This window comes from Homo sapiens, chromosome 17 (genome assembly GCF_000001405.40).
Source record: "Homo sapiens chromosome 17, GRCh38.p14 Primary Assembly".
NCBI lineage: Eukaryota > Metazoa > Chordata > Mammalia > Primates > Hominidae > Homo > Homo sapiens.
In genome coordinates, this window is record NC_000017.11 from 33,511,437 (window position 1) to 33,529,699 (window position 18,263).

Sequence of the window (18,263 nt, forward strand, 5' to 3'; positions counted from 1 at the left end):
GCTCCTTTTCCCTAGTTCTTTATTTCAATGACTGGGCACCACCCAGTTGCCCTAGCCAGAAAATGGGGAGTCATCTTCTATTTCTCCCTTTCACTCATACTCTAAAGCCCATCAAAACCAACCTTTGGTGATTCCACCTTTTCGAAGGTGCCCACTTCCTCCCTGTCTCACTGCCCACATCCAAGTCAAGGCCATTGCTGCCTCTGGCCTGGACTCCTGCCATAGCCAGAGAACTTGGGGTCCCCTTATTCATACTCACTCTACTACCCTCCAATCCCATTGCACAAGCCAGCATGGTCTTTGAAAAACCCAAATCTGATCATGGCAGCCTGTATTTAAAACCTTTTCAACACTTAGGATAAAGACCCAAGTCCCTAACAAGGCAGGATGTGGGTGCTCTGTATATAGTAGGTTTGGAGGCATCCTCACTTGCCACGAAACCCACAGTCACCAAAAGAACCAAGCCTGGGGCTTCCAGGAAGCAGCTCATGTGGTAATGCAAACCACAGAGGTCAAGAGGGCTCTTAGATACCCTCACCTAGGGCTGCCCAGCCCTTGTCAGTGCAATAAGGGGAAAGCACATCTTATTTTTATTTCTGGGTTTCAGCGTCCTGTGTAAAAGGAGGAGTTTGGGAAAATTCAGCTTAATAGTAGGTAGTATTGTAGTGAGGTTATGGAAAAAATCATATCACTTTTCTTCAAACAGTCCTCCAAAGGGAGGTCTTAATGGTTCCAGGAGCTCAGTCTGACCAAGATAAGGGTGAAACTCTGCAGTCACTATCTATGCTGAAAGAGAAGCATCTTTCAGTGCTCCTCAAGATTTCCTAAAAAGTCACCTCCAGAGGCTAGAGCCTGGAAGAATTGGCAAAACATGAGTCATCATTATTTTGACTTGAAAGGAGGGACAGAAGCTTCTCCATGGACCAGGTTCCAAGGCTAGTTGGTCATAGCTGTAGGCAGCCTGTCCCTTAGCATCAGTTGTCCTTGATCTTAGAAACTTAAGACTGAGAGGAGAACACTTCTTTCCACTTATTATTATTGCTCCCACTGGGTACTGAGCCTGCAGAGTTATAGTGTGAAGAGAGATGAGCATTTAGAAAAATAAAAGGAGAATAAGAAGATGAATGAGTCTCAGAAGGGAGTGAATCCACCAGATTTAAAAAGAGACCAGGGAAAAGACCCTAGTACCATCACGTCTACACTCCTGCTTACTCTAGCTAGGCCCAAGCTTGAAGCTGCTCCAGGCTGCCTTCAGTTTCTGGGTTTATCCTTCTAACTTGGCACTGCCTCCCATGCCAACCTCTTATGGTGCAGACCCCTGGAATAGCTCCCATCACTCACCAGCACCATCATCTCCAGCAAAAGGCCTGTCAATATTTACCCATGGGAGGGTGACCTCTTGCTTCTGAGGAGTTTTGGCCATGAATGGAGTTCAGCTGACAAACTGTCAGTGCCAGCTGGTAGCCCCAGACTCTGTGCAAACTGGAAACCTGAAGGCCAGGGAAGGGAAGTGACTTGGCCAAGGTGAACATGGTGAACTTGGCTCCTGGACCATGTATCCTGTTGTCCAGTCTTGTGCTCTTTGCATTATACGAAATAGTTTTATTGATCATTCTACAAAGTAACGGAATTTTCAAGCTAAATTTTAGCATGGGATTCTTGGGGATGGGTATAAATGATGAGGGTGCTGGCATGGCAGGACTGCTGTAGGAAGAAGAGAAACTAATAAGAGTAAGAGTAGAATACTTCTGTTGTTCTCAATTGCACTAATTTTAGCTTTTATTTTCATTAAATCACTCTCCTGTGTTGTTTTGCATTTATTTTATGATTCTTTATCTAATTTCTTAGGTTGACTACTTAGTGCAATTATTTTCAGCTTTTCACAAGAAATAATAGAGGCATTGAGTGCTATAAAATGTCCTCTGAACACAGCTTTAGCTGTGTCCCATAGGCTTTGATGTGGAGTATTCTCCTTTTCATTACTTTCTAGATAATGCATAACTTCTGTTTTTATTTCTTCTTTGAGCCAAGAATTACTTAGGAAAGTATCTCTTAATTTCAAAGTAGTTAAGAGTTTTGGGGCCATTGGAGACAGAATGAAGAGGAGTTGGCTCCAAAGAAGAGACAAGCAATTAAAGCCAACTTCCCAACTTCTGTCTGGTGCCAGCTAGGTTGGGCATTTTTGTCCTGTCTTCACTGATTTGGGGCAGTAAGAGGTGAGAGGAAGTTGGGGAACAAAACCCCATGACGTCCTCAGTTTAGTGTCTGTTCTCCTTCCTGCCACTCAGGCTGTGACCAAGGGGACTGCTTCCTGCTCTGTCCCCTACACTTGGCTCCTGTCCTTGCCCAGGTTCAAAGGCGGCACCTTCCCAGAAGGCTCACTCCCATCTGTAGCTGGAAGTCACATCTGCTCAGGGCTGTTTGGAGGCTGCCTTCTGTTAGGCACAGACCTGTGCCCCTTCCAGCCCCCAGCTCAGGGGTGACCTTAGACGCCATCATAGGTGTAGGGAGGGCACCAACACTGCCCTCACATAATCGGATCAATGAATATGAGCACCAGCTGTGCCAGACACACTGCTGGGGGCATGACACATGGAACCTCGTGTACCTCGTGGGTAGACATCACTCCCATTTGGCAGGGATGGAAGACAATTCCCAGCTGTAGGCAGTTTTCTCAGGTACACAGCTGGGAACTGGATGCAAACACAGGTTTCTCTGGCTCTGAACCTTTGCCTTCATGCTGCATGCTCTAGCCTAATCTTGACCACCTGCCACTCCTGACTCAGAATTTTCAGATGAGAGAACTGAGGCCCTGGATTTCAAGGGACTTAGCTGTGCATGACACAGCAAGGCCCCAATGAACTGAAATGAAATGCACCACTGAGAAGCACACGTTCATGGCCCTGCCTTGCTGATCCTCTCCTTCCTCCATCTCCCCATCCTCTCTTCCACACCCCCCTCAACCTCATCGCGGTCCTTGCCTTCCTAACTGGTAAAATTGAGAAATTTGGGGGGAATGTGGGAGGAATTAGGAACAGGCCAAAGGGGAGGGGATTGTAGAGGGAAAGCATTGTTTTTGGACAGGAGGCCAACAAGACAAATGGACTCCTACATTCCGAGCATTTCAGAGCCACCTGTTTGGACTTCTGTCCTGCCCTTATTGATCTTTCCAGGGCATTTCCCCAGTGACCAAGAATTACGGATCTTTTTCTGGAATGGGATCCCATACCATTACAATAGATCATTTAAGGACTTTTATGACCGTGCTGCTAGGAACTAGGATTCTAAAGTTTAAAAAGATCACGTGGTCTTGGAAAGGCAGCCTTGTCTGTCCTCTACCTCATGGGCTACTCCACCTTCTTCCCTGATTCATGGCTTTGCTCACTCTCTAAATCACTGACTTTCTCGGCCCCTTGGCTGTGTGGCCATAGAGAAGCTGCTGGGCCTTGAGGAGTCATCCCGTGTTATCCCCTGGAAGCAGGACCTCGGTCCTTTCTCCCAGATGTTCTTTCTCACCTCCTGCCAAACTCCGTGCCAGCCCTCAGCACCACAGCCTGAGAAGTCATGCTTTCTTTTGTACTGTGTCCACGGATATGTGCCCAGCCTGTCATAGGTGCCAGTAAGTATTTAGTGAATAAAGGAGTAAAAGAATGAATGGATCCATCATGAATTATAGCTGCCTAGCTGGCACTTGGTGGATGGGGCAAGGAGGGAAGTGCACAGGGCAGAGGAATTGCTCCGTCGCTGTTCCTGAAGCTCTGGGGTTGGGAGGGGATGGAGGAGGAGAGCACATTCTGTCCCAAACCCCTCTAGATTCCCAGGACATACCCATACACTCCAGCCCTGCCTAGTCTCTCCCAACCAGCCTTGGCTGGCTCTGGATCTTCCTATGGGGCGCTCAGGTGGGCCTCAGAAGTAGACCCTGAGGCAGCCATGGACATTCACAGCCTGGTTTATTCAGCACAGCTCTGGCACCAAACTCACTCCATGGCCTATGGGTATTTCAGGCCCATGGGTTGAACCTCTCTCAGCCCTGTTTTCTTCTCTGTAAAATGGAGATGAGAATACTCACGTGTTCTAGTAGGAATAACTCAAGACACGGAATGTGAAGTGTTAGCAGAGTGTCCAGTGCCTTTGAGTGCCTCTCTCCTCCCTTCTATTTATTTTTAAGGCTACTCATCCTCTTCCAGGCCTTGTCTGACCCACGGCTTCTGCTTCCTTCCCGCATGGCTGGGGCTACTGGATCCTTAGCTGCAAGCTTAGCCCTGCCCGTGGCTCCTAGGACCAATCCTGAGGCTTCAATAGTCCCAGATGCCCACTCTCGGACTTGGCTTGCTATTCCTGTCCTGACCTCCGTCCTGTTCTGAAGAATGCAGAGGCCGGGTGCGGTGGCTCACGCCTGTAATCCTGGCACTTTGGGAGGCTGAGGTGGATGGATTGCTTGACCTCAGAAGTTTGAGACCAGCCTGGGCAACATGGCAAAACCCGGTCTCTAAAAAAAAATACAAAAATTAGCTGGGCGTGGTGGTGTGCGCCTGTAGTCCCAGCTACTTGGGGCGGGGGATGGCTGAAGTAGGAGGGTAGCTTGAGTTGGAGAGGTTGAGGCTGCAGTGAGCCAAGATCCTGACACTGCACTCCAGCCTGGGCGACAGAGCAAGATTCTGTCTCCAAAACAAAACAAAACAAAACAAAACAAAACAAAACAAAACAAAACAAAACAAGAACGCAGAGCGCAGTGTCCAGCTGGGTGGAGCCCAGAACTGCAGAGATGTGCTGAAAGATACTCCCGAGGCCACCACCACTCCCACATTGCCTTCCTTCTTCACACACAACCAGAACGTGCAGTTTGCATCACTCACATAGAAATTACCAAAGTTATTAATCACAGCGTATGAGTGTGTGTGTTTGTATGTGTGTGTGTGTGTGAGTGTGAGTGTGAATGTGTGTTTGTAAGTGTGTTTGTGAGTGTGAGTGTGTGTGTGTGTGTGTGTGTATGGAGGAGGGGTGGTGATGCTGTTGTTGCTCCTTCAGTTACAGTAATGGCACTCAACCTAACTACACATTAGATTCTCCTAGAAAGACTTGAAAATGCCGATATTCAGGCAGAAGTTTTGATTTCATTGGTCTGGAGTGGACCCTGGACATTGGGAATTTTATTAGTGCTATTAACACTTCCAGGTAAGTCTAGTGTGCAACTGGTGTTGGGTACAACGGAACAACTGGTGTTGGGAACTGATGTGAGCTCGCTGACATCAGGGATTTGGCTTTATCTATTTTGTCTCCTTGGAGGTGCCTGGCTTAGTACTCAGTGCCTGTAAATGGATCAGGAGTCCCTGTCTCTGGGACACTTTGCCTGACCACCCTCCTCCCTCCCATGCCTGGGCTAGGTGTTGTGCTCTTATTACACTGGGTTTGATTTCCTGTTTCCTGTCTGTCTTTTTCAATAGACAATGGACTGCCCTAGGGCAGGATCCAGATTTTCATCTCTGGCTCCTTTGTCAAAACCCTCACACATCAGAATGTATCGGTGCCGCATGGGTCTGAGGACATCTTATCCCTTCTTTTCAGGGTCCCTGGTAGTTAACGAAGCCTCTCTTTTCTTCTAGATGTTGTTTCTTTGCTTTGGGAAATGGTTCTCAAACCCTCATAACCTCTATCTTAGTTATACCTTTTGCTGCATATTATTATTATTATTTTGAGACAGAGTCTCGTTCTGTTGCCCAGGCTGGAGTGCAGTGGCGCGATCTCAGCTCACTGCAATCTCTGTCTCCCAGGTTCAAGTGATTCTCCTGCCTCAGCCTCCTGCGTAGCTGGGATTACAGGCATGCACCACCATGCCTGGCTAGTTTTTGTATGTTTAGTAGAGATGGAGTTTCACCATGTTGGCCAGGCTGGTCTCAAACTCCTGACCTCAAGTGATCGACCCACCTCGGCCTCCCAAAGTGCTGGGATTACAGGCGCGAGCCATGGCATCTGGCCTTTTGCTGCGTATTAAATTACCCTACACCTTAGCAATTTATAACAAATGGTTTCTGTGGGTCAGGAGTTGGGAGTAGCCTAGCGGAGTGATTCTAGCCGAGGTCTCTTGTGAGGTTGCAGTCAAGATGCCAGCTGGGGGCTGCAGTATTTGAAGACTTAACTGGGGTTGGAGAATCTACTCTGAGGGTCAATGCACACAAGTGAGAGAGCACTCAAGCCAGAGGCCACAGTCTTTTAAAATGCATAATACAGGAAGGGGAACATCACACACCGGGGCCTGTTGTGGGGTTGGGGGAGGGGGGAGGGATAGCATTAGGAGATATACCAAATGTTAAATGACGAGTTAATGGGTGCAGCACACCAACATGGCACATGTATACATATGTAACAAACCTGCACGTTGTGCACATGTACCCTAAAACTTAAAGCATAATAAAAAAATAAAATAAAATACATAATAATCACTTCCTTCATAGGTCGCCTAGACCAAGCCTGTTGCAATGTGGGTGGGAACTACACAAGGAGGAAGAACCATGTGTTGGAGTGTAACGACCGCAGGCTGCATGCTGGGAGCTGGCCTGGAAGTCCAGAGAGGGCACCCAGTCCTGATCCCAGCCTCTGATCATCATCCTCTTGAACACAAATATCTATTTGCCCCTCTGATGTGCAGGAACAGTGCAAGAGATGAGTGTCATCCTGGCCTCTTTTTGATTTTTTTGGAGAAGGGCTAATAGAAAATGTCCTCTTGGCTATCAGTCCTGAGCTCCTCAATAACGCCTGAACTCTGTAGAAATTTGGAAATTGAAACCTAAGAGTAAGCTCTAGAAACAGATACCTCCAGGATGTGAGCTTATTTTTGATAGCCATGGCGTTTGAAGCCAATGGAAGTGCGGGCGAAGGAGAGACTGAGAAATGCTGCCCACGTGGGCTCTGAAAAAGGCTAAGGTTGGTGGAGTCCCAGCCCCTGCATGATGTGGCAGGGGGCAAGGCCAAACTTGCCATCAGCTGGAGCTGACTTCCTGAGGGAGGCAGCAGGTGCAGTGGGCTGGGGCACCATGAGCACTAAGCTCCATCAGATCTGGGTGGGTTCCTTTCCTGCTTCCATTTGCCGTGTGGCCTCCACCAGCTGTTCTCTCCCTGGGGCCTCAGTTTACCCATCCATAAAATGAATTGGTTGGACTGATACACTACTTATGAGGCTTTTAAAAAACAATAGCACCTTCATTTTCCAAATTACACCTTACAACAAATAAAGTGAATACAATGTTACTGCCTCATTACAATATATGAGATAATATTATGAAAGCTAATATGCAAGAATAAATGCTTAGTGTGTTCCTAAAGCTGTTCTTAAATGCTTTGGACACATTAACTGATTTAATCCCACAGTGGCCCTGTGAGATAACTACTCTTTTTTTTTTTTGAGATGGAGTCTCGCTCTGTCACCCAGGCTGGAGTACAGTGGCGTGATCTCGGCTCACTGCAAGCTCCGCCTTCCGGGTTCACGCCATTCTCCTGCCTCAGCCTCCCGAGTAGCTGGGACTACAGGCGCCCGCCACTGCGTCCAGCTAATTTTTTGTATTTTCAGTAGAGACGGGGTTTCACCATGTTGGCCAGGATGGTCTCGATCTCCTGACCTCGTGATCCGCCCGCCTCGGCCTCCCAAAGTGCTGGGATTACAGGCGTGAGCCACCGCGCCGGGCCGATAACTACTCTTTTTAATCATCATCCCATTTTACAGAGGAGGCAGCCACAGCACAGAGAGGTGAAGTAGCTTACCCAAGGTCACACGGCTTGTAAGTGACTTGAACTCATGGAGGGAGGCCATAAGGCCTTGCTCTTGGCCCTTCCGTTATACAAATAGAAGCAGAGCGGCTCTGGTGGAAGTGAGGGAGGAATGCTGGAAGCCGCCCAGCTTGTTACCCTTCTCCTTTCCTCTCTTTCCACTGAGCACCCCCTTAAACACAGTTGGCCTCGGGCTTGTGGGGCAGCTTTTGAGCTCTGACATTTGACGAGCTATGACCCCCGTATTTCTCTACCTAGGCTTTGCAAACACATGCACCTGAACCATCTGGGATGCTTTATTCAAATCTGGATTTCTATGCCACTTTCCAGGTTCATGGGATCAGACTCTCTGGGTAGAGTCCAGGAGTCTCCATGTTAATCAGCGCACAAGTGGGTCTCGGCTCACTGTCATGGAAAAACTGCTGCATTTTGAGCAGGTAGGCAGCTTAATCACCACCACTGGGCTTGGAAAGGACTGGATTTAGCACTTTCCTTAGGGAGGAGGAGGAGGCCTCCTTAAGGAAGGTCTTTTTAAGGAGAGTGGGAATAATCTCTGTGCCCAGGCACTGCTAGACCGTCTGTCAAACTTGACCTCACTTCAGGCCACCCACGCAGGTTGCTGTAACCGAGAGTGAGCCAGGAACTTCAACTGACCAAGAGCAAAGCCTGGGTCGTGGTCACTGTGACATTCCAGGCCACAGTTAATCAGCACATCTGTGAATGCACCAGGTGATTTCAGAACATTTTTTATGCTTCAGAGAGAAAACAATTTTTATGACTGTTCAGTACAGCCCAGGAATCAGAGAAACAAATGCTGTTAAACATTCATGTGTTAATTATTGCCATTCCTTGCTATTCCTACCATCCAAGAGCTGATTATGAGCAGAGGGTATCTTTGCAACGAGAATTCTGGCTTATTGTGGCCCCTCCCCAGGGGCCTCTTTGGCTGTTAGATTTGGGGGAGGGTCATTAATAAATGCATTGTAGTCACAGGGTAATAATCCTGTTGTGATTAGAAGTATAGCTGTTCTACTTGAAGAAACACTGTCCAGGCAGAAAGGAATGAACAAGGATACGGGACAGAAAGACAGGGTCAGTGGGGAAGCATGAAAATCACTCGCGAATTCATTCTTGTGTCTGCACCTGCAGAACATACGCTCTTTGGCCAGTGTTTGTCACAGCTACACCATGCTCTAGCATTTACTCAGAGGAATACCTGGTCCAGTGGTTAACTGGGAGGTTGTATTAATTAGTATGCCTAACTATGTCCAACACACGAGGAGCTGGAAGGATAGTTTGGTGAATGGCCACCTGGGATTAATCACCCAGTCCAGTACAGTCGTATTAATTTGGTGCCCAGCAATGTTCAGCACACAAGGAGCCTCAGGAGGGACAGTTTGGAGAGAGACCACGAGAGGGCGGCAGTGAGCCCACAGTCTGGCTGATCCCCTTACCCACGGACAGGGCCCCTCTTGGGGCTATGAAGGGTGGAGGAGCAAGTGAGCGGCCCCAAAGCTTAAAACTTTATTTGCTTCACAGCAAATGTATCCCTGGGCCTCACCTGTGTTCCTGTCTTGGAGTTCTGAGATAGCAGGGAGTTCTGTTTCTGGGAATCTGCCTCTTCCCCAGGGGGAAATGACAAAGGGTATTTTGAAATTGACATTCAGGCCCTGGGGTTAAGCCTGTGGAACCAGCAGGCTAGGGGATGCTTGCCTCACCTGCCTGGGTGTGTGGGTGCTGGAATCATGTTGGACTACTTTGGAAAAGCAAAAACTTCGAAGAGAAGGTACTGATGTTGGCATTGCTGGCTTATGGCAGCCAGGAGTCTGAATAATAATAATTATTATTATTATTTCATAACAGGCAGGCAGGAATTCTACAGACAAGGTTCAATAACCTCAAGGCAGTCTCGTGGCGAACTGGCAGATTAGGTCTCGGGACTTGGGACTCAGGCTGGGCTGGGTCCACACAGCACTTTGCCTCTTGCGGGAGAAGTAGCAAATAAAGGCCTCTGGAGCTGGGTAAGCAGGGGCTCAACACTGTCGTCGGCCAAGGGGTATCTTTTGAAGGATGCAAATTAGCTGAAATTGAATGAATTATTTGGCTCTGCAGGGGGAGGTGGGAGGTAAAGAGGGCCCCTGGATAATGCGCCTGCCACTCGGGGCCAGCCTTGCTGACAGTTATTCACTCTGAGTGTGGCACACAGGGACACAAGAGGTACAGCAGCCATGGTGACTGTAGGGCAGGGATGGCCCAGTTCTGATGCGGCCAACGCCCCCGAAGTCCTGGAGACAGAAGTAGCCACATGACCAAGGAGTCAGTCTCTCCCAGTGGGTACACAGAGCAGGGTGCACAGCCCAGCTGGGGTCCCGTGAGAGCCTGCTGAGAGTCTGGCAGAGATGGGCAAGGAAGATGTTGGATCCGACTGGCAGAGCTGGAGGGACTGTTGAGAATCTTCTAGTCTACAGTGCGGGTGGATTTGAGTTCTGGGAGGGGAAGGAATTGCTCAAGTCACGTAACCTGATGGCACTGCTAGGACTGGAGCCCAGCATTCATGCCCCACGGTCATCATCTACCCTCAAAGGCCATACCTTGCAAAACCTCATCCCCGCTCCTCAGAACCCTGATGTGGGGCCTCTGAAGACACCTGACAAGAGGGGACCCAGGCTGTTCCTCTGGGTGTGCATGGCAGGCAGGCCCCTTCCCCCATCACCTGGCACCTAGGCGGGCAGGGAGGCCCTCTGGCAACTGCGGGCAGTGTGGTTCAGCCAGGGCTAGGGGGCCCTCTGCTGGGCAGCCGCTGCCTGGCCTATGGGATAGCTGAGCAAAGCCAGCTGGCTGGGTGGGTTCCGGGGCTGCATAGAGGAGCATCCTGTCAGGAAGGGTCAGGGATGGCAAAATTCTGACCCATGGCACTTCTTTGTCAGTCCCCCCACTCCTTCCTGTCACTGCTGTCCCTACCAGGCAGCCTTGTGCCCTCTGCTCAGTACCCCCTCGTGGGCTCCCCACCAGCCCCCCAAACCTCCAGTCCTATCTGCTCCCCATTCTAGCTCCTGCTAATATGATATTGAATCTTAAAGGGTCAATGAATTATTTCCCCCGTTCCTGAAGGCCTACATTTGCAGAGCATTCGGACTCCTCTGAGAAACCGAGTCTTCCCTGCAGGAGTGAGCTGAAGGCCCACCGGCTCCTGCTGTGGGCTGAGGCCCACCTGTGGGGGGCCCTGAGGTGTCTTTGTAGGGGCAGCGGCTTGGCAGTAGTTCTGACCATGGTTGGAATCCTGCCCCTTTCTAGTTCTTTGACTTTGAGCAACTCACTAAACTTCTCTGACCCTCTGTTTCCTCATCTGTGAAATAGGAACAGTAATTCCCGTCTCCCAGAATTGCCTTGGGTGCTAAGTGAGAGGACGCAGTAAAGAGTCCCTCACAGGACTCAGTGACTATCAGTTTCTTTCATTGAGATTTTCAGTTTTCTCATCTGTGGAATAAGAATTCTTGTCTGCCCTAGATTATAACTTTGAAAATCCAAGTGTTTTGAAAATCCAAGTGTTAGTTTTATTTGCGGTGCCATGAATTCCCACAAGAACAGACACACGAGAGCGCCACCTCCAGTGCAGACACAGACACTGAAGCCGTGTGGCATCGCAATATCCCTGAAAACTGCCTCCCGCTCTGCACCGTGCAGTCCTGGGGCTGCCCAGAACAAAGGCCAGGGCAACCCCTGGCTCCCCCTACCCCACCCACCGCAAGCCCAAGAGAGATCAGCACATGATCAAGCCAGGTTGCAGGAAGGAAAGTGATCTACACAGCAAGTGGGTGACAAGAAGTGTCAGGACACCCATCTTCTGAGCTGGGCCTCAATCTTCTTTTTGCAGATTCTTCTGTCTTAAGGAAAAGACCCTTCTCTTTTCTCTTCGTTCTGTGATGAAGGACCCTAGTTCTGAGGTCAAATTCCAGCAATGGACTCACTGTCTTTGTCATCTTGGTAAAGTACTCAGCCCCTCTGAAACTTTGTTTCTTGATTTCTAAAATGAGGATCACAAAGCCATCTTTATTTTTTATGTATTTACTTTTTGAGATGGAGTCTCACTCTGTTGCCCAGGCTGGAGTGCAGTGACACCATCTGGGCTCACTGCAACCTCCTACTCCCAGATTTAAGCAATTCTCGTGCCTCAGCCTCCCGAGTAGCTGGAATTACAGGCACCTACCACCACATCCAGCTAATTGTTTTGTATTTATAGTAGAGATGGAGTTTCACCATATTGCCCAGGCTAGTCTCGAACTCCTGGCCTCAAGTGATCCACCCACCGGGACTCCCAAAGTACTGGGATTGCAGGCGTGAACCACTGTGCCCGGCTAGGATCATAAAACCTCCTGCAGAGGGTTGCTTAGAGGTTTAAGTAGCATAATGCATTCCTGGCTCCTAGCACAGGGCTTGGCTTCTGGCAGGTTCCCCTTCCCATGTGAACACTGACTCAGAAAATGACACTTTCCCGTTGTTATAAATAATCTCGAAGACACCCAGTTCTGTGCTCTGTCTCTGTGCTTGGAAAGGCCCTCTGTGCTCACTCTACCAACTAGTCATCTACTCACGGCTGATGTAGCTCCAGGGAGGGGAAGCTCACCCTTCACTGGGCTGCAATCTCAGAACAGCTGGGACGGAGGGGAAGTTCCTGCTCTCATGATGTAAGTGCTGTCTCCATGCAGTTCTCATCCATAGCATAGCCTCAGGAAATTGATCTAATCTTGCTCTAAATCAACTCTTCGGATGACCCCTGGGCCTTCTTGTCTCTTTCAGTCATACACTCAGGGGTCAGCCTCAACCTTCTCCAGCTCCTCTCAGCTTTGAGCAGGTATCTTTCACTTTCAGGAGCAACTCAGCATGCCCCTGGGCCAATGCTGGTGTCCTAGTCTGGCTGGGCTCAGGAGTTTCTCTCACCATCCCCAGGCTCAGCCTCTGAGATTCTGCCCAGTTCTTGCTAATCCCTGCCTCCAAATTCTTTGCCCTCCAGTCAGAATGTGCTGATATACCGTTGTTGGGTTCCTTATATAGAGACACTGTGCATAGAATCCCCTTTTTAGCCTTCCCAGTACATCGTCAGGGTAAGTATTATTATTCCCATTTCACAGAGGAGGAAATGAAGCCTCTGAGAGATTGGCTGACTTGCCCAAGATTGCATAGCCAGCAAATTGTGAACCAGAAGTGGGAGCTTGGTCTCTTTGATTGGAGTTGAGAGAATGAGTTCTCCCCATACAGGTATGATGGAAATGAGAATTTATGTAAAACAAGAAAGGTGGTCTTTTACCAGTATTGTTTCTGTATGTTCTGGGTGAAGTGTAGACTCATTCGGAGGTGTGCACTGGGAGGGGGTGTCACAGCTTGTTAGGTGTATATGCATATGGCTAACGAGGATGGTGGGGAGGTGCTGGCTTGGTGTGGCAGCTTAGCTGAGTTGGGTCATGCTGCTGCTCACGAGAATGAGGTCCCCAGTTTGAGTCCCTCCACCTCCATCCACTCACCTGCCTCCCAAGTGTTATTTATTTGTTTGTTTATTTAGAGACAGGGTCTCATTATGTTGCCCAGACTGGCCTTGAACTCTTGTCCTCAAGTGATCCTCCTGCCTCAGCCTCCCAAGTAGTAGAGACTACAGGTGCACATTACAGCGCTGGGCTTCCTCCCAGATGTATTTAACTTAGTCATAAGTGAGTCCAGCTGAGAGTGTAGACAGTGCCTAGGGAGCCCAGCAGCTCCCTTGGGAATGTGATTCCAGGGCACAGGAAAGGCCAAAGGTCCTTGTGACCCTCAAAGTCTATCTTCATTATACCTACAATATGAATCCCAGTCTCTTCTGTTCCCCCATCACCGATACCTGTGTCATTCCTGTCTCTGTGCTCTTATTCTTGACGTTCCCTCTACTTGGGCTGCCTTCCCCTCACTGAGTCCTGTAGTCAGCCTCAGTCATGTGCATGGAACAGGAGGGCATGCTGGCTGAGTTGTGTGCCTACATGGCTAGACTGCGCAACACTTCCTAGCATTCCCTGCCACCAGGTCTTTCTGAGTAGGGCGGACACGAGAGAGTCATGTGGGAGGTGTGGAGGGCAGAGTGAAGCAGCCCCTTTGTAGCTCACATATCTTGTCGCTTAGCTGCTGGCTGTTTGTGTGAGGCTACCACTCCACCACCCCTTGGAAATATCTACAGCTTCTCTGCCTCCTGGCCAGATGAGTGAGCTTTGTTCTGTGATGAAGGACCCTATCTTCTGCAGGAAACCCTCACCGTCAAGGTCAGAGCAATAAAACTGACAGGGGTCTTAGTCCAACCTGGTGTAATTCCAGCTCGGGCTCACGGGTTCTGGCTTATCCTTGTTATCCCTCACTTTATCTCCATCTTCCCCTCCCTACCTCCTGCCTTGCAGACATGGAGATCCAGCATCAAATGCAAATACCTCTGCATTACCTAGACGGACTGACCAGCTCCCACAATAGCAGAAGGTCAAGTGTCTGTAACAAATCCCTTATTATTTATGTATCTTAGCAGCTTTGCTTTTCTTACTGAGCTTGAATTGTGGTATCAACATGGGTGGTGGCTGATGGTGGCCTATGACTCCTATCCATCCTTTGGAGCCCAGCTCAAGACTCACCTCCTCCAGGAAGCTTTCCCAGACCCCACTAGTCATCAGTGGTCACTTCTGACTGAGCTATTACAGCATTTACTGCCTGTCCTGCTTTAGGCTGTAAGTTATCTTTCCACTCGTGGGTATCTTCTTGTCCTAGGTCAAAATTTCCTGCACTTCACAGATACAAATCTCTAGTCTCTTCCTGAAGATTCTGATTCTGCGAGCCTTCACCTAGAATAATATGGTGACCAAAAAGTGTGAGGAATTCAGCCCCAAGTAAACTGTGAGCCCTAAGATGACAGGAACCAAGTCCCTGTTTTATGTGTCAGGGACTTCACATATCCAGCAAAAATAGTAGATTTGAAAGTGGAGGGTACCCAACCAGCCTTTTCTGGAGCAACATCCTGTCTTAGAATTCCCATTAAGTGAGATCTCTCAGACGCTTTTCTTTCTTCTTGCAGGGCAGCAGAGGATGAAACCCCAAGCAGTCAGGTGCTGGGGACGTCATTCATCCTGATGATCCTGATGGGGTTAATTCTTACTAGTCATGTCTCCCTCACTCTGATCAAGCCACCCTAGGACTCCTTCTCTTCTATTGCTTTGGAAGGAGGACTGTTCTTTCTGGCTCCAGGAGTCCACCTCCCAATCTCCCAGCATGTCCCCCGGAGCTGAGTCTGACAGATCCAGGCTCTTCTGCTTTTTCTTTGGGGCTTTCTCTCCACTTGTTTCTCTTATACGTTCTAGCTCAAACCTATGCCCAACACAGAGTAGGCACTCACTAAGAATGGGTGCTGGATTGTTCATCATCAGGGCCAGGTTGCCTTTGCTGCCCTCATCAGGCCCTTATACAGCCAGGGCATTGGTGGTACTCTGGGCAGGCTATGAGACCCTGCTTGCCTAGCATCTGAGAGATGGAAAGTCCGCCAACCAGACCTGGGCTGCCCACCCCTTCTCCTCCCCTCCCCAGAAAACCCCAGATTCCCCACTGTAAACAGTTCTGTGACTGTGTCTCCTGGAAAGGCCAGATCTGATGTCCATGCAGGAAGCTTTGTAAGAATTCCTCATGGTCGAATGCATCTGTTCCCTAATCAAAACACAGGCAGATTCCTCATGCTGGGCCTTAATTTGCTGAACTTGCACATAATTGAGACAGATTATCTCTATTTTCCAGCTAGTCATTTTATATTTCGGGGGTGATGCTGGGCTGGCTCAGGATGTTTCTGGTCGGAGCCCCCATCTGCTACCTGTGCAGGAGGGCTGGGCGCCCTGTGTGCCTACTTCCTTCTATGATCTAACAATAGAGAATGCATGTGGATGCCTGGTGCAGGAAGGAAGGAGAAATACTGTTCTTCTTCAGATGTGTGTGCCAGGGAGGAGGAGATGGACAGTAGGGTGCACTGTCCAGTGGGCAGATCTAAGGAAAGAGAATTTCTTACCTGAGTCTTCAAGGAAAGCCAGAATCAGGGCCCTAAACCCATTCAAAGACCAAGCAACAGCTAAAGGCTTTATGTTCCACACTGGACTCTCAGAAGTAGCTGAAACCAAGTGACTCTTACCAGAAACCAACTCTGGAGTAGTTGCCTTGCTCGAAGCCTAATCAACTCTGGGCTGAGAAGAAAGGAACACACGTGGTTCCTTTCCCTTCCACATGAGGATTAAATGAGATACATCAGGGTGGCAGAGGAGAGTGCTCCAGTGGGTGAAAAATGACCAGGAGTGGGGTGTTGTGTGTCCCACTTTATGGAAATCATACTTGGAAAAACTGAATCAAAAACAACAAACTCTGACAAAGAGGGTCATCGTGAACAATGGGAATATCAGGAATATCCCTTTAAAGAGAACCCCCTGACACATGCATGGTATCTGTGGGCTTACCAGAGTTGCATTTACACACTCATTTTAGGGACATGTGCCTAAAATGAAGTACATCTGTTAATCAGGGTACAGAGAGGCTGTGTGGTGAGGGGGAAAGAACTGGATAGGGGGTCATGGAGCCTGGTTCTGCCACTTTCTCACTGAGAGACCTGGAGCAAATCACTGTCCCAATCCAGGCCTCTGACTCCCATTGGACAGAGGGTAGGACTGGATTAGATGATCTTTAAGGCCACTTTCGCTTTGACATTTTCTGTAGGAAGAGGAGGAAGAAGATGGAACTTCATGGAGGCCCTACTGTATTGCAGATGCTCATTTGACCCAATGCCTTGGTAACCCCAAGAAGAAGTCATGCTCAAACAATTAAGCAATGCATCCAAGGTGAGAAGGTGTCAGGGCCAGTAAGTGTCATTACCACGCCCTCGTAGGAGGTGGCAGGGAGGATTCAAACCTGGGCCTGGCTGACCCGTGTATGTGGTAGGTGTGTGTGTGTGTGTGTGGTTTCCAGCTGTGATCCTATAGGACAGGTGAGGCAGGGAGCCAGTGGACTTGCAGTACTGCTTCTGTTTTAAATTGAGACAAAGCTTGGGGCCATCACATGGGCTTCCTGTGGGGAAAAAGGGAGGCCAATCCATTTAATTAACACCCCACCAGACCCCTGGAACTCTCCCTCCAGCCAGAGCACCAACAACCCTGATAGCAACTGGGCTGCCCCACCACAAACCTTTAAGCAATTCATTTTCTACACTTATAATAAATAAGTCAATGAAAAAAATTTTCGACATAATTTCCCCAGAGAATGGAAGAAAGAAGCAGCATGAATTGGAAGCTCCTATTATCTTCTGTTGTCTTGTCTCTGATGACAGATAATGGCGGCTGGTGAAGGGGATTGGTTGGCAGGGAGAATAATGCTTGGGTAAAGGTGGCCTTTAGAATATATCATCCCGCATCCAACTCAAAAAGGGAAGAAAAAAGCAAAAGACAAGGCAAGGCTAGCCGTGCTGCTCTGTTCAGGCCTCCCTTCCATCTACATCTAGCCAAGTTGCAGCCCCTCTTACTATTAGAAACCATTGCATGAATCACCCTATTTGCTGCTGCTTTTCCCCTGTGCCTTCAGAGAGCTGATTAATTGGTCCAATACCAGCAACTCGTCACGAAGGTCTTAATTAAGAAAGAAATAGCCACCTTGTGAATTCCCTGGGCATCAATAGCCCTGGGGATGTCTCTTCTGCCTTTCTGCCTGCTGCTCAGGGAATGGTGAGGAAAAGAGGACAGAGGCAGGCTCCGATTCAATGGGATTACAATATTGGAGGGAGTAAGAGAGCCAAGTGGCCAGGAAACTCCAGGACAGTTCAGGAGGAAAGAATAATAGAGAGTTTGGCCAAATGAGTCAGCTTCCAAGGCTGAATCCAACTGGCTGGGGGCTCCCACAAGGGGAGTGAACTTTGGGGACATCTTGGGTTTGGACTAAATTTTTAAGACTAGCTTTAAAAAGGACAGTTAAAAGTATAGCAATTATTTTCAACCCTGACTGCCCTGTAGGGGAGCTTTTAAAATACAGTGATGCCCGAGCCCCACTTCACTCCAGTCCAATCAGAATCTCCAGGGGGTAGGAACCAAACACTGATGTATTTTAAGAGCTCCCTGGCTGATTCTGTGGTACACCTGGGGCTGAGAACCACCAAGGATGGTACAGAGCGCGTTTCTTCATGTGTGCTCCCTGGGCCAGCGGCATCAGCATCAACATCACCTGGGAGCTTGTCAGAACTGCAGAATCTCAGACACCACCCCAGAACTACTCAAGTAGAATCTGCAAGACCCCTAGCTCATTCTCATTCACTTCCAAGTTTGAGAAGCAATAGTTTAGACAACAGATTGTTTGGGGTTTTATTTGGACTCCAGCATTGAGGCACATTACTCAACTTCCCTGAAACTCAGTTTCACTGTATGTAAAATGGGACTAATGATATGTATATGCCACAGTTATCAAGAGAAGAAGACAGAATCATTTCT

General features: G+C 48.8%; 1 protein-coding gene across 1 annotated transcript in view; it reads right to left on the bottom strand.

The window, feature by feature from the left end:
* The window catches only part of ASIC2 (acid sensing ion channel subunit 2), a 1,143,682-nt gene that overhangs the window by 498,350 nt on the left and 627,069 nt on the right, over positions 1–18,263 (bottom strand). The gene's annotated exons all lie outside the window — the stretch shown is intronic.